This window comes from Homo sapiens, chromosome 22 (genome assembly GCF_000001405.40).
Source record: "Homo sapiens chromosome 22, GRCh38.p14 Primary Assembly".
NCBI lineage: Eukaryota > Metazoa > Chordata > Mammalia > Primates > Hominidae > Homo > Homo sapiens.
This window is the reverse complement of record NC_000022.11, coordinates 41,545,507-41,560,995: the sequence shown is the minus strand read 5'-3', so window position 1 is coordinate 41,560,995 and position 15,489 is coordinate 41,545,507. Positions and strand designations below refer to the sequence as shown.

At 51.1% G+C, this 15,489-nt stretch overlaps 1 long non-coding RNA gene across 1 annotated transcript, besides 2 other annotated features; it reads left to right on the top strand.

The window, feature by feature from the left end:
* Positions 1–112: 112 nt before the first annotated feature.
* LOC105373044 (uncharacterized) lies at positions 113–9,287 on the top strand. Its single transcript, NR_134631.1, has 2 exons — positions 113–276; positions 9,108–9,287. It is a non-coding gene; the product is annotated as an uncharacterized LOC105373044 (long non-coding RNA).
* Positions 4,124–4,371: a silencer, noted in NCBI's record as "fragment chr22:41952629-41952876 (GRCh37/hg19 assembly coordinates)". NCBI's record gives its function as "represses an EF-1alpha promoter that drives an FKBP-Casp9 reporter gene in an ReSE screen in phorbol 12-myristate 13-acetate-treated (for megakaryocytic differentiation) K562 erythroleukemia cells {active_cell/tissue: K562(+PMA)}" and the evidence as "EXISTENCE:reporter gene assay evidence [ECO:0000049][PMID:32094911]".
* Positions 4,902–5,401: an enhancer, noted in NCBI's record as "H3K4me1 hESC enhancer chr22:41951599-41952098 (GRCh37/hg19 assembly coordinates)". NCBI's record gives its function as "activates a minimal SCP1, AML or CMV promoter by ChIP-STARR-seq in primed H9 embryonic stem cells {active_cell/tissue: H9 hESC(primed)}" and the evidence as "EXISTENCE:reporter gene assay evidence [ECO:0000049][PMID:30033119]".
* Positions 9,288–15,489: the final 6,202 nt, after the last annotated feature.

The following is a 15,489-nucleotide window of genomic DNA, read 5'->3' as shown; positions in this document are numbered from 1 at the left end:
CTTCCAGCTGACGTCAGGGAGAGCAGGAGGGAGGGATGAGAATTTGTACTCCCTGCTTAAAGGGACACCAGGCTCTGTGGCTCATGGCCCAGACATCACCTCCTGAGTCAGGCACTGCCAGGTGAGAGGCTCAGCTGCGTCTCTCGGGGGCCTTAAAGCTTCTTTTTTTGGAAAGTGGCTTTTATGGTCGGGCCACGGTATAATTTGCCCTGCCCAGTGAGGGCAGCTGCTGAGGAATGCAGGGGAGGAAGAACCTGAGACAGCGCCACGTTCCTGGTAATTAGAGAGCAAGTGGGGTGGTGAGTTTGAGTGTGAGTGTGTGAGTGCACACTGGGGGGCCCCTCGGGGTGGGTGGGCATGAGTGGGGGTGAGTCTGGGAGAATGGAGGTCAGAGCCAAGAGGAGCCCCCCAGAGGGGTCGAGACAAGCCAGGTTCCCAGGGACACCCAGACACTCGTCTCCCCTCCGGACGCTCAGTGGTCCTGCCCTCTGCTAGTACAGACACTGACACGGCTCATCTCTGTCTACCCCTTGTAATATTTCCATGGAATTGAATTGACGAGGACCCCAAGGAAGTGATCGGCTTGAAGGTGCACAGGTGAACACCCCACAGCCTGGGAGGCTCTGAGTAGAGAAGTAGAGAGGGCTGATTGAATTCAGGCACCCAGCCTGTTCTACACCACACGCCCTGGCTTCGAAGTGCTCCGCACTGTCAAGCTGTGTGACCTTGGGCCAGCCCCTGAGGGCCTTTGGAGGTTGAGTGTGTGATGTTCCTAAACCCAGGGCCAGCTGGAGGAGGCCTCCACAAAGGTGCTTCTCTTCGTTCTTCCCATTCCTTCTCAGCCTCAGCTTGGAAAGAAGGAAGCCTTTCCCTGGTGTCTCCTGGTACTACTGAGGCAGGCTGGCATTTTCAAAAGGAGTCTTTTTAAAATAAAAAGGAGGTGGGAGTTAAAAGGGAAACCGCAGAGAAAAATACAAGTAACTAATACAAATAGCTAAGACGCCACAAGAGCTTGCTCTGTTTCAGGCAGCAAGCTTTGCCCTCATTGAAACCTCACAACAATTTAATAATTTATTTTTATCATCCCTACTTTACCGGTGAGGAATTAGAGGCTCAGGGAGGAGGAAGGACTTGACTTGCCTATATTCTTCCAACTGGCTAGAGAGGTACTGGAACCCAGGAGCACCCAGTGTCACCACACGCCCCTGCCCTTCCAGAACCTCTCAGGACAATCAGGCTCAGACAGTCTGGGTTTCTGGTTCTGCAGGAGAGACTGTTGAGAAATGCTGCCTGTGGTTACCTGGGGATGTTCTGAATTATTATTATTTTTTTTAGAGAGTATTGCTGTGTCGCCCAGGCTGGAGGGCAGTGGCTTGATCTCAGCTCGCTGCAACCTCCGCTTCCCGGGTTCAAGCGATTCTCCTGCCTCAGCCTCCTGAGTAGCTGGGACTACAGACACACACCACCACACCCAGCTAATTTTTTTGTATTTTTAGTAGAGACAGGGTTTCACTATGTTGGCCAGAATGGTCTCGATCTCCCGACCTCGTGATCCACCCACCTCAGCCTCCCAAAGTGCTGGGATTACAGACGTGAGCCACCGCGCCCAGCCAGGGTTCTGATTTTATTTCACAGCCCCACCTGAGAACTCTACCCAGAGGAGCCTCCCTTCCCCTTTAAATTCTCCTCTCTCTTTCCTCCTTTTTATTTATTTATTTTTTCTTTTTTGAAACAGGGTCTTGCTTTGTTACCCAGGCTAGAATGCAGTGGCTCAATCACAGTTCACTGCAGCTTCCAACTCCTGGGCTCAAATGATCCTCCCGCCTCAGCCTCATGAGTAGCTGGGACTACAGGGGTGCACCACCATGCCTGGCTAAGTTTTCAAAAAATTTTTATAGAGATGGGGTCTCATTATGTTGCCCAGGCTAGTCTCAAACTCCTGGCCTCAAGCGATCCTCCTACCTTGGCCTCCCAAAGTGCTGGGATAACATCGTCTCTTCTTTCTTCTTTGCCTTCCTCTCCTCCAGCAATAATATCTTTCTTTTTTTTTTTTTTTTTTGAGACGGAGTCTCACTCTGTCGCCCAGGCTGGAGTGCAGTGGTGTGATCTCAGCTTACTGCAACCTCTGCCTCCCGGGTTCAAGCAATTCCCGTGCCTCAGCCTGCTGAGTAGCTGAGACTACAGGCATGTGCCACCACATCTGGCTAATTTTTGTATTTTTAGTAGAGATGAGGTTTCGCCATGTTGGCCAGGCTGGTCTTGTACTCCTGACCTCAGGTGATCCACCTGCCTCGGCCTCTCAAAGTGCTGGAATTACAGGCATGAGCCACTGCGCCTAGCCCCTTGCCTGCTTCTTCTGACAGCTCTATCGGGTTCGGTGGGATGAGGAAACAGCTCAGAGAGCTCGTGGGGCTCCACTGAGTCACGCGGCTCCGAAGTGGAGGAGTGCTGGAGCAGAGGCCCCAAGCCTGATCTCTGGACCTATGTTTTTTTTTTCTTTTTTTTCTTTTTTTTAGACGGAGTCTTGCTCTGTTGCCCAGGCTGGAGTGTAGTGGTGCGATCTTGGCTCACTGCAACCTCCACACCCCTGGTTCAAGCAATTCCCCTGCTTCAGCCTCCTGAATAGCTGGGATTACAGGAGGACGCCACCACGTCCGGCTACTTTTTTTGTATTTTTAGTAGAGACAGGGTTTCACCATGTTGGCCAGACTGATCTCGAACTCCTGACCTCAGGCAATCCGCCCACCTTGGCCTCCCACAGTGCTGGGATTACAGGCATGAGCCACTGCGCCCGGTGGACCTATGTTTTTCAAACACACCAACCTGCCCTCCCAGCAGAAGCGCTGGAGCCATGGTGGACGCTGGCAGTTTTCCCTGGCCACCCTTACTATCCTGTTTGCTGGGAACTGCCTTGATGTTGTCACCTGGGGAATCACCTCTCCCCTCTCTTGGTCTGTAGGACCTCTGGCCCAGGCTTGGCCAACCAGAACTGGCATCAGGACTTGAGCTGGAATGTGGATGCCCAGGCTGGCCCTTCTCCCGGGGGCCCCCATGTTGTTTGAGTGATGGGTTATAAGCTGATTGGCCAGCAGAGGGGGAGTGGCTGGGCGGACATTTCTGCACTCCAGGTGACCTCGGGACCCAGCTTGTCAGGACCTAGAGAGAAGACATCGAGAGGGAAGAAGCTCGGGAGGTTGGAAGGCCCTTGGCTGTATATGAGCTTGGGGTGGCGGAGGAACAGAAAGGAGGCAGTGTCAGGGTACAGGGTGAGGGAAGGGAATGCGGAACATGAGGCAGGGTCCCGGAGGCCAGCTCTCAGGAGGCTGAGGCCCGGCTGCTGTGGCCAAGGCCCTGACCCCTCCCTTCACGTCCAGTCTCCTTTCTCTTGGCCCCTCCCATGGGCTGTTGAACATGTGCCCAGAGCTGCCAGGCAGCCAGAGAGCAGTGAATGAAGGAGGCTGGGCCGAGCATTGAAGCAGTGTTATGATTATTCCTGAGCCGGCGATGAGAGGGCACAGCTGTTCATTCAGGAAGAGAGCAGCCGCAGCCCCACCCACCCACCCACCAGCAGCTGAGTAACAAAGAAATCGTCTGGCTGAAACCAGGGGCTCCGGCGTGGAGGCTATTTTTGTGAAAAGCTGAGAATTCAAAAGCTCATCTCCTCGAAAGCCTCCCTTGCCTTGGAGAAGCCGAAGAGGTGGGTTAGAGCCAAATAGCCCCTGCGACTACTGATTCCACCTGAATTACAATTCTCACTCCTGTTATCGACGGTCAGCCCACCTGTGGTGGCCAGGCCTGGACCTATGTGGCATTGAATCCACATCCCTTTGAGATACATACACCTCTAAGGTGTTGGTGCCGTGTGACAAGATGATGAGGATGCTCAGGCACAGAGCATCACAGCTGGTGATGGAGCTGGTATTAAAACACAGAGGTTCAGCCAGGCGCGGTGGCTCATGCCTGTAATCTCAGCACTTTGAGAGGCTGAGGCGGGAGGATCACGAGGTCAAGAGATCGAGACCATCCTGGACAACATGGTGAAACCCTGTCTCTATTAAAAGTACAAAACTAGCTGGGCATTGTGACAAGTGCCTATAGTCTTAGCTATTCGGGAGGCTGAGGCAGGAGAATCGCTTGAACCCGGGAGGCGGAGGTTGCAGCGAGCCAAGATCGCGGCACTGCACTCTTAGCCTGGCGACAGAGCAAGAGTCCGTTTCAAACACACACACACACACACACACACAGAGATTCTGGCTTCATTACATTCCTATTCTTCCTGCCATGCCACACTGTCTTTGAAATGTCTTTTCAATCCCCTAGATGCCCATCTCCCCTACAGTGGGACTCACCTCCAACCTGGACTCAGTAAATCAGAGTGGTCCTTCCTTCCTCTCTCCTTGTCTCCCACTTGTCTCCTCCAATCCGACTACCACCCTTCTGCCAGGGAAGATCTTTTCCTGCAGATCTGACCACATCATTTGTGCATTCATTCATACGTTCAGCAAATATTTATTGCCTGCCTACCATGTACCAGATGGCCAAGGCTCCAGGAAGACAGCGGCAGACAACGCAGGTGAGCTCCTTGAGTTCATGGAGCTCGCATCTCATCTACAAATGATACAGATGATACAAAATCCACAGACAAATGTAGAATCACAAGTTACAAAAATAAAAAATAAGGGGGTTGGGTGTGGTGGCTCACACCTGTAATCCCAGCACTTTGGAAGGCCGAGGTGGGTGGATCACAAGGTCAAGAGATCAAGACCATCCTGGCGAACATGGTGAAACCTCGTCTCTACTAAAAGTACAAAAATTAGCTGGGTGTGGTGGCGTGTCCCTGTAGTATCAGCTACTCGGGAAGCTGAGGCAGGAGAATCGCTTGAACCCGGGAGGCAGAGGTTGCGGTGAGCCAAGATCACCCCACTGTACTCCCGCCTGGCAACAGAGCGAGACTCCCTCTCAAAAAAAAAAAAAAAAAAGGCAGGGAAGGGAACACCCAGAGGGGAGAAACAACTCTGCACATTCAAGCAACTTACGATTGCAGATGTGGCTGGAACAGCATGTAGGAGAAGGGCAGCAGCCACATCGTATGGGATTTGGGGGACCTGATGAGAGGTCTGCTCCTCATCTGAAATGAGAGGGGAAAGAATGACATGCTTCTGCCAACAAACAGCATAGCTGGCAACCTGGCAGAGCCTCTTTGTGGCCAGCAGGCTTCAGAGCTTGGCACCCTTGTCTGGGGTAGCAATCACTGCAGGCAGAAGAATGGGGGAGGTGAGGGGGTTCCCCCAGCTGAGGTCCCTGGGCCGTGGGGCAGGGTCTCCTTCTGCAGCTGCTGCTCAGACTCCTTCCAGAATTCCTCCCAGGTCCGTGGGAGTAGCTCTCTGTGATGGGTAGCGGGCTCTGGCCCAGTCAACCTCCCCCGCACCCTGCCCTGAGATCCTGAGGCTGGGGTAGCAGTCTGTCTCCTGGCTGCTCCAGGGCTGGTCTGGGCTGTGAGCCAAGTCTCCCTCAGCCATCCATCCATTCACACACACTCCTGGGCCCTCTGGGCCATAGGCCTCCAGCCTTCTCAATGCTGAGGGTTCCCCTTCGTCCTCACCTTCTGAACAAAGCTATAGCTGGTGCCCTGGTGAGGGCAGTGGTCTCTAGTTATGCCCCATCATGTTATCCATGTGACCCTCTCAATGGCACCACCTGGAATGATCTCCCTACGTGTCTATTTCCATTTCCTGTCAGTCCCCCCAGAGCACAGGACCCTATAGGAGGGCCTCTGAGGCCCTCACCAAATACCTGGTGACTCTCTGCATTTCACTTTTGGCCCAAGCCAAACCAGGGAGCAGCATCCTGGGTGACATCTGGATGTCTAGTGGTTTTTATTTTTATTTTTATTTTTTGAGATGGAGTTGCTGCGACACCCAGGCTGGAGTACAACGGTGCAATCCCAGCTCACTGCAACCTCCACCTCCTGGGTTCAAGCGATTCTCCTGCCTCAGCCTCCTGAGCAGCTGGGATTACAGGCACCTGCCACCACACCTGGCTAATTTTTGTATTTTTAGCAGAGATGGAGTTTCACCATATTGGCCAGCCTGGTTTGAACTCCTGACCTCAAGTCATTTGCCAGCCTCGGCCTCCCAAAGTGCTGGGATTACAGGTGTGAGCCACCGCACCTGGCCCAGGATGTCTAGTGTTTAGGCCTTTTCTAGAATCTCCTTTCCCAGTGGCACTTCTGCCTGTGCCTTGGCCTCCATGCAGGGACTTTTGTTGTTGTTGTTGTTGTTGTTTTGAGATGGAGTCTCGCTCTGTCACCCAGGCTGGAGTAGTGCAGTGGCGCAATATCGGTTCACTACAAGCTCCGCCTCCCGGGTTCAGGCAATTCTCCTGTCTCAGCCTCCCGAGTAGCTGGGACTACAGGCGCCCACCACCATGCCCGGCTAATTTTTTGTATTTTTTAGTAGAGACGGGGTTTCACCGTGTTAGCCAGGATGGTCTCGATCTCCTGACCTTGTGATCCGCCCACCTCGGCCTCCCAAAGCGCTGGGATTATAGGTGTGTGAGAGAGGTTTTAAAAGTACCCAAATAAATAAGGCCAGGCACGGTGGCTCACGCCTGTAATCCCAGCACTTTGGGAGGCTGAGGCGAGTGGATCACCCGAGGTCAGGAGTTCAAGACCAGGCTGGCCAACATGGCAAAACCCTGTCTCTACTAAAAATACAAAAATTAGCCAGGAGTGGTGGCACGTGCCTGTAATCCCAGCTACTCAGGAGGCTGAGGCAGGAGAATGGCGTGAATCCAGGAGGCGGAGCTTGCAGTAAGCAGAGATCGTGCCACTGCACTCCAGCCTTGGTGACAGAGCGAGACTCCATCTCAAAAAGAAAAAAAAAAAGTTGGACATGGTGACAAGTGCCTATAGTTCCATCTACTGGAGAGGTTGAGACAGGAGGATTCCTTGAGCCCAGGAATTCACTGCACTCTGCTGGGCAACAGAGCAAGACCTGTCGAAAAAAGAAAAAAAAGCCTAACAAACAAAAATAGCTTAATAAATAAATAATGTCATGTTGGAAGACTAGGAATGCTAGCCTAGGCAATGCCAGGGAAAATTAAACAGGGAAGTGTGGGGATGGTGGTGAGTGGTTAAACCAGGGGGTCAAGGCTGGGCTTGGTAGCTCACACCTGTAATCCTGGCACTTTGGGAGGCTGAGGCAAGAGGATCGCTTGAGCTCAGGAGTTTAAGACCAGCCTGGGCAACATAATGAGACTTTGTCTCTACAAAATAAATAAACAAAAATAAAACAGGGGGCCAGGGCAAGCCTCACCAAGGTGACGTTACAGCAAGGAGCTGGAGGAGGTGACTGGAAGGGTGTTCAGCGAGAGGAAACGGCACAGGTGGAGGACCTGAGTGGGGGTGGGTCTGGGGTGTCTGAAAAACAGCCGCCAGGCGGAGGAGTGGGGCATGAGGTTGGAGGAGTCCTGGGGCAGGGGGACCCCAAGGGCTGTGAAGGCCATCCTGAGGCCTGGGCTTTTTCCTCTAGGGAGATGGGGTGTTGCACAGTCTGCAGGGGAAGAGAGAAAATTCCTGACTGACACTGAAACAGCAATTCTCTGGCTTCTGTGTTGCCTGTAGGCGGCAGGGCGTGAGGACAGGAACCTGGAAACCTGTACTGGGGCTGCTGCGATGGCCCGGGGAGGATTGAGGGTGGCTGGGACCCAAAAATGGCAGTGGAGTTGATGGAGAAAGGTTGGATTCTGGATGCATTTTGGAGACAGCAACAACAGGATTTGCTCAGGGATTCACAAAGAGTGTGAGAGACAAAGAGTGGAGAATGATTCTGAAGCCTGGACCTGAGCAACGAAGAGTGGAGAAGTCATTTTCTAAGACAGGGAAGAGGCTGGGCGCAGTGGGTCACGCCTATAATCCCAACACTTTGGGAGGCTGAGGCAGGAGGATTGCTTGAGCTCAGTTCAAGACCAGCTTGGGCAACACGGCAAGACCTCATCTCTAAAAAAAATACAAAAATGAGGCTGGGCGCAGTGGCTGATGCCTGTAATCCCTGCACTCTGGGGGGCCAAGGCGGGCGGATCACCTGAGGTCAGGGATTCGAGACCAGCCTGACCAACATGGTGAAACCCTGTCTCTACTAAAAAAATTCAAAAAATTAGCCAGGCGTGGTGGCACATGCCTGTAATCCCAGCTACTTGGGATGCTGAGCCAGGAGAATCACTTGAACCCTGGAGGCGGAAGTTGCAGTGAGCCGAGATCACACTATTATACTCCAGCCTGGGCAACAAGAGTGAAACTCTGTCTCAAAAATAAATAAATAAATAAATAATAAATAAATATAAAAAATACAAAAATTAGCTGAGTATGGTGGTGCACGCCTGTAGTCTCAGCTACTGGAGAGGCTGAAGTGGGAGGATCTCAATACTACATTCCAGCCTTGGCGACAGACCTTGTCTCAAAAAAAAAAAAAAAAAAAAAGAGACAGGGAAGATGAATAAGAGCAGGTTTGTTGGGAGGGCCAGCCAGGAGTCCCACTGTGACGCATGTTAAACTCGAGTGACCAGATGGAGCTGTGGAGTCCGTGCTCAGGGAGAGAGGCTAGGCTGGCAGGAAGGGGTGGAGACATGAGCGGCAGGTGCTGTGTGGAGGCATGGTACCCGCAGGAGTGTACCCAGAACCGAAAGTGAGCCCAAGGCCCACCATTGTTGTGAGGCCGAGAGAGGAGTCTGTGAGGTGGGTGGAGAACATGGCTGGGCCACAGGGGAAAGGGTGTCTGACCTTCTGGGACAAAAACTGCCACTGAGGACAGAATTACCACTGATTTGGCAACACGGAGTCCATTAATGACCCTCAGGAAGCATATTCCCTGGAGCAGCAGGGGCAGAACCCTGGCTGAAGCAGGTCGGAGAGAGAAGAGAGGTTTGGAAGGGACCCAACAAGTACAGACGACTGTTTCAAGCAGTTTTGCTAGTAAAGGGAGCAGAAAAATGGAGCATTCACTGGAGGAAAAGGGAGCCAGGAAAGGGGGCCAAGAGAAGCTTTTTTTTTAAGATGTGAAAAAAAATCTTAATTGCTTTTTAAATTTTGTTTTATTCATTTTGAACAGGTAATATAGTCCCATGATCCCACACAAAGAAGATTCCTGGCCGGGCACAATGGCTCACACCTCTAATGCCAGCACTTTGGGAGGCCGAGGAGGGAAGATCACTTGAGCTCAAGAGTTCGAGACCAGCGTGGGCAACATAGTGAGACACCATTCCTACAAAAATAAAAAATAAAAAAATTAGCCGGGTGGAGTGGTACGTGCCTATAGTACACAGCTACAGCCATGCAGGAGGCTAAGACTGGGGGATTGCTTGAGCCCAGGAGTTTGAGGCTGCAGTGAGCTATGATCACACTGCTGCACTCCAACCTGGATGACAGAGTGAGACCTTGTCTCTCTCTCTCTCTGTTTTTTGTTTGTTTGTTTGTTTGTTTGTTTGTTTTTTAGACAGAGTTTCGCTCTTGTTGCCCAGGCTGGAGTGCAATGGCATGACCTCGGCTTGCTGCAACTTTTGCCTCCTGGGTTCAAGTGATTCTCCTGCCTCAGCCTCCCGAGTAGCTGGAATTAGAGGCGCCCGCCACCATGCCCGGCTTATTTTTTGTAATTTTAGTAGAGATGGGGTATGTTGGCCAGGCTGGTCTCGAAATCCTGACATCAGATGATCTAGCCGCCTCGGCCTCCCAAAGTGCTGGGATTACAAGTGTGAGCCACTGCGCCGGGCCAAGACCTTGTCTCTTTAAAAAAAAAAAAAAAAAAAAAAAAAGATTCCAAAGTGCATTTAGGAAAAAATTCTCTCCCCTCCCACTGCCCCTCACCCCGCTTCAGCTGTTCATTCCTTACTCCGGAGACAACCAGTGTAATCCACTTCTTATGAACCCTTCAGAGCTATTTTCTGCATAAAATAATATTAGATAATTATTTTTCTCCCTTTTTTACACAAATGGTAACATCCCATTACACCATTACACAGTGCTCTGCACCTTGTATTTTTGGATTTAACAATATATCCTAAATATCATTCTATATCAATACACAAAGGACATTCTCATTCTTTTTCATGGCTTCACATTTTTCTGGTATGTGATGTACCATGTTTTTTTTTTCAGCCAGCACTCTGCTGATGGACAGTCATTTGAGATGGGATCTATTGCTGCTTCCCTTTTACAGAGAGGCCGTGGGGCACTGAGAGGGTCATGGGCATCCCTGCAGGTGCTCAACTCGTGTGCTGTGGCATGGAAATGCTATGCTCCTAGTCATCCTGAGTGACTCTCTTTCTCCTGCCTTGGTGAGTTTCCAGCCCTATTTCTCCCTCACTCCTATACTTTCAGCAATTCTTTTTTTTTTTTTTTTTTAGACAGAGTCTCACTCTGTCGCCCAGGCTGGAGTGCAGTGGCATGATCTCAGCTCACTGCAACCTCTGCCCTCCAAGTTCAAGCGATTCTCCTGCCTCAGCCTCCTGAGTAGCTGGGATTATAGGCACATGCCACCGTGCCTGGCTAATTTTTTGTATTTTTAGTAGAGATGGGGTTTCACCATCTTGGCCAGGATGTTCTTGAACTCCTGGCCTTGTGATCCACCTGCCTTGGCCTCCCAAAGTGCTGGGATTACAGGCGTGAGCCACTGCGCCCGGCCAATTCTTTTATTATTATTTTGTTCATTCAAATAACATGTATCAGACACTGGGTTAGGCCAGAGCACATGCAGGGACGCAATAGGTAGAGAAGCTCTGTGGTCACGGAGCTTGAAAATGAAGCCACTTGTGGTGGTTTTTTTTTTGTTGGTTTTTTTTTTTTTTGAGACGGAGTCTCGCTCTGTCACCCAGGCTGGAGTGTGGTGGCACGATCTCGGCTCACTGCAAGCTCTGCCTCCCGGGTTCACGCCATTCTCCTGCCTCAGCCTCCTGAGTAGCTGGGACTACAGGCTCCCGCCACCACGCCCGGCTAATTTTTTGTATTTTTGGTAGAGACGGGGTTTTACCATGTTAGCCAGGATGGTCTTGATCTCCTGACCTTGTGATCTACCTGTTTTGGCCTCCCAAAGTGCTGGGATTAGAGGCGTGAGCCACTGCGCCCGGCCCGCTTGTGTGTTTTTGTACCTCAAACCTTCCATGGAGCAACATGGAGAATTCATAAAGAGGCCTGATCTCTGGTTTTACCAATGAGTAAACCAAACGTGCCAACACATCACTGTTGCAATCCTGTGAGCGGAATACTGTAACAGTAGCCTGGTAACCCACACACTGACCGCTTCAGCTCTGGCCCCTTGCCCCCAGCCTGGCCCCGCTGCAGTTTCCCATCTCAGAGGTGAAGGCTAAAGCCCACAGGCGTCGGCTCCTCCCACTTCTGTCCTCCAGGTCATCCCACCCATTCCACCCCCTGAAGACCTCTGGACTCTGACCAGCGTTACTCTCCATGGCTACCAGCCTTGCTCTGACCATCTCTTGCTGCGGCCACACAATAACCTCCTTCCTGGTCCTGCCTCCGCTCCAGCCCCTTCCCATTTGCTGTCTACCCAGGTGATATGTCCCTGTGTTATTTTCCTATCCTAGCCTTCTTTTTTTTTTTTTCTTTTGAGACAGTGCTTCACTCTTGTCACCCAGGCTGGAGTGCAATGGCGCAATCTCGGCTCACTGCAACCTCTGCCTCCCAGGCTCAAGTGATTCTGCCTCAGCCTCCTGAGTAGCTGGAATTACAGGCATGCGCCACCATGCCCAGTTAATTTTGTATTTTTAGTAGAGACAGGGTTTCACCAGGTTGGCCAGGCTGGTCTCGAACTCCTGACTTCTAACGTCATGGCGGGGCACAGCCTGGTGGTCGTGATTAGGGACTCTGGGGCCTGGGTCCCAGGTTTGCCACTTACTGGCTGTATGACCTTGAATGACCTACTTAACCTCTGTTTACCTTAGATGAGGCAAAATGAGACAATTGGGCAAGTGAGATAACGATGATAGCTCCTACTGTATACAGCTGTTCTGAGGATCAAACTTAATGCATATAAAGCACCTAAGTAGTACTTGACATATAGTAAGTGCTCATGAATGTTAGCTGTTAATATAATCATAAGGCCCTCTGATCTGGATGCTGCTTAGGTCTCTAACCTCTTAGCTTACCAGTTGTCATCTCCCATGTAAATCAGCCCGAATATTATTATTTATTTCAGAGACAGAGTCTTGCTCTGTCACCCAGGCTGGAGGGCAGTGGCATGATCAAAGCTCACTGAAGCCTCAAATTCCTGGGCTCAAGCAATCCTCCCAACTAAGCCTCCCAAGTAGCTAGGACTACAGGCAAGTGCCATCACACCCAGCTAATTATTTTATTTTTTTAGTAGAGACAGTATCTCACTTTGTTACCCAGGCTGGTCTCAAACTGACCTTAAGCAATCCTCCTGCCTCGGCCTCCCAAAATGTTGGGATTATAGGCATGAGCCACTGTGCCTGGCTCCAAATACTTTTAATTACCTGAGAGTACAAACTCGCTCTTTCTCTCAGTGCCCACCCTGCTGCCCCCCAACTCCAGCACCAAGTGCTCTGAGTTGAAGCTCGGTTTGAGGCCCAGTTTTTCTTCTGCATTGCATCTCCAACAACTGTACACAACAGTATGTTGAATGAATGCACGAATGAATGAGAACAGCATCACATGTGGGTTCTGTTTTGGGCTGTTCTCACGTTGCTATAAAGAAATACCTGGGCCTGGCGTGGTGGCTCACGCCTGTAATCCCAGCACTTTGGGAGGCCGAGGCAGGCAGATCACCTGAGGTCATGAGTTTGAGACAAGCCTGGTCAACATGGTGAAACCCCGTGTCTACTAAAACTACAAAAATTAGCCAGTCGTGGTGGCATGTGCCTATACTCTCAGCCACTCAGGAGGCTGAGGCAGGAGAATCGCTTGAACTCAGGAGGCGGAGGTTGCGGTGAGCTGAGATGGCACCTCTGCACTCCAACCTGGGTGACACGCACAAAAAAAAAAAGAAAGAAAAAAGAAATACCTGGCTGGTAGTGGTGGCTCATGCCTGTAATCCCAGCACTTTGGGAGGCCGAAGCTGAGGATCACTTGAGGTCAAGAGTTTCAGACCAGCCTGGCCAACATGGCAAAACCTTGTCTCTACTGAAAGTACCAAAATTATCCAGGTGTGGTGGTGCACGCCTGTAATCCCAGCTAGTCTGGAGGCTGAGGCAGAAGAATCGCTTGAAATGGGGAGGTGGAGGTTGCAGTGAGCCCTGATAGCGCCACTGCACTCCAGCCTGGGCAACAGAGCTGGTTAATTTATAAAGAAAATAGGCTGGCTGGGCACGGTGGCTCACGCCTGTAATCCCAGCACTTTGGGAGCCCAAGGCGGGTGGATCATGAGGTGAGGAGATCGAGGCCATCCTGACTAACACGGTGAAACCTCATCTCTACTAAAAATACAAAAAACTAGCTGGGCGTGGTAGCGGGTGCCTGTAGTCCTAGCTACTTGGGAGGCTGAGGCAGGAGAATGGCATGAACCCGGGAGGTGGAGCTTGCAGTGAGCCGAGATCATGCCACTGCACTCCAGCCTGGGCGACAGAGCAAGAATCCGTCTCAAAAAAAAAAAAATAGGTTTAGTTGGCTCATGGTTCCACAGGCTTTACAGCAAGCATGGTACTGGCATAGGCTCAGCTTCCAGGGATGCCTCGGGAAGCTTCCCATGATATCGGAAATCAAAGGAGGAGCAGGCACATCACATGGGGAAAAGAGGAGCAAGAGAGAGAGTGGGAGGAGGGAGGTGCTACACACTTTTTTTTTCAAGATGGAGTTTTGCTCTTGTTGCCGAAGCTGGAGTACAATAGCGCGATCTCTGCTCACCAGAACCGCCACCTCCTGGGTTCAAGCGATTCTTCTGCCTCAGCCTTCCTGAGTAGCTGGGATTACAGGCATGCGCCACCACGCCCGGCTAATTTTGTATTTAGTAGAGACGGGGTTTCTCCATGTTGGTCAGGCTGGTCTTGAACTCCTGACCTCAGGTGATCCGCCCACCTTGGCCTCCCAAAGTGCTGGGATTACAGGCATGAGCCACACGCCTGGCCACCACACACTTTTTTTTTTTGAGACGGAGTCTCACTTTGTCGCCAGGCTGGAGTGCAGTGGTGTGATCTCAGCTCACTGCAACCTCTGCCTCCCGGGTTCAAGTGATTCTTCTGCCTCAGCCTCCCAAGTAGCTGGGACCACAGGCGCGTGCCACCACGCCCGGCTACTTTTTTTTTTTTTTTTTTTTTTTTGTATTTTTAGTAGAGACAGAGTTTCACCGTGTTAGCCAGGATAGTCTCAATCTCCTGACCTTGTGATCCACCCACCTCGGCCTCCCAAAGTGATGGGATTACAGGTGTGAACCACCACGCCTGGCCCCGCCACATACTTTTAAATGACCAGATATTGGCTAGTCACGGTGGCTCATGCCTGTAATCTCAGCACTTTGAGAGGCCAAGATGGGGGGGATCACCTGAGGTCAGGAGTTCGAAACCAGCCTGGCCAACATGGTGAAATCTTATCTAAAAATACAAAAGTTAGCTAAGTGTGGTGGTGGGCACCTGTAATTCCAGCTATTTGGGAAGCTGAGGCAGGAGAATCGCTTGAACCCAGGAGGTGGAGGTTGCATTGAGCTGAGATCATGCCACTGCACTCCAGTCTGGGCGACAGAGCAAGATTCCGTCTCAAAAGAAAAAAAAAAGAAAAGGCCTGAACCGAAGCAATAGCAGTGGGAGTGGAATGAAGAGGAAACATTTGAGAGGAAGAATTAATGGTAATCCCTAAACACCTTTACTCAATGCTTCCTAGGAATGTGTTAGGGGATTGTGGGAATAAAGAGCTGAAGTAGCATTTGCTGCTGTCCTCAAGTACCTCAAATCCTATAGAAGCACACCTAAAAATAAAATCATAGATGCAGGGAAGGCCACATTTAGCATCACTGCAGCCAGTGTCACTGAGAGATCACTATGCTTGTGAAATCAGCAAATTAAGGCACCATACATTTCCAAGTGCCTCTGTCATTTACCCCAAGTATCTTTTGTAAGTACCTAAATTGTTATTTTGGTTAAAACACACTACAAGCCCGGGCGCGGTGGCTCACACCTGTAATCCCAGCACTTTGGAAGGCTGAGGTGGGCAGATCATGAGGTCAGGAGATCGAGACCATCCTGGCTAACACGGTGAAACCTCGTCTCTACTAAAAAAAAATACGAAAAATTAGCCAGGCGTGATGGTGGGCGCCTGTAGTCTCAGCTACTCGGGAGGCTAAGGCAGGAGAATGGCGTGAACCCGAGAGGCGGAGCTTGCAGTGAGCCAAGATCGCGCCACTGCACTCCAGCCTGGGCGACAGAGCGATCCTCCGTCTCAAACAAACAAACAAACAAAAAAACCCACTACAGTATACATCTACACCCCACCAATTTTTAGAGGCAGGGTAGTGAGGTTCAGACTGGGCCCACCTC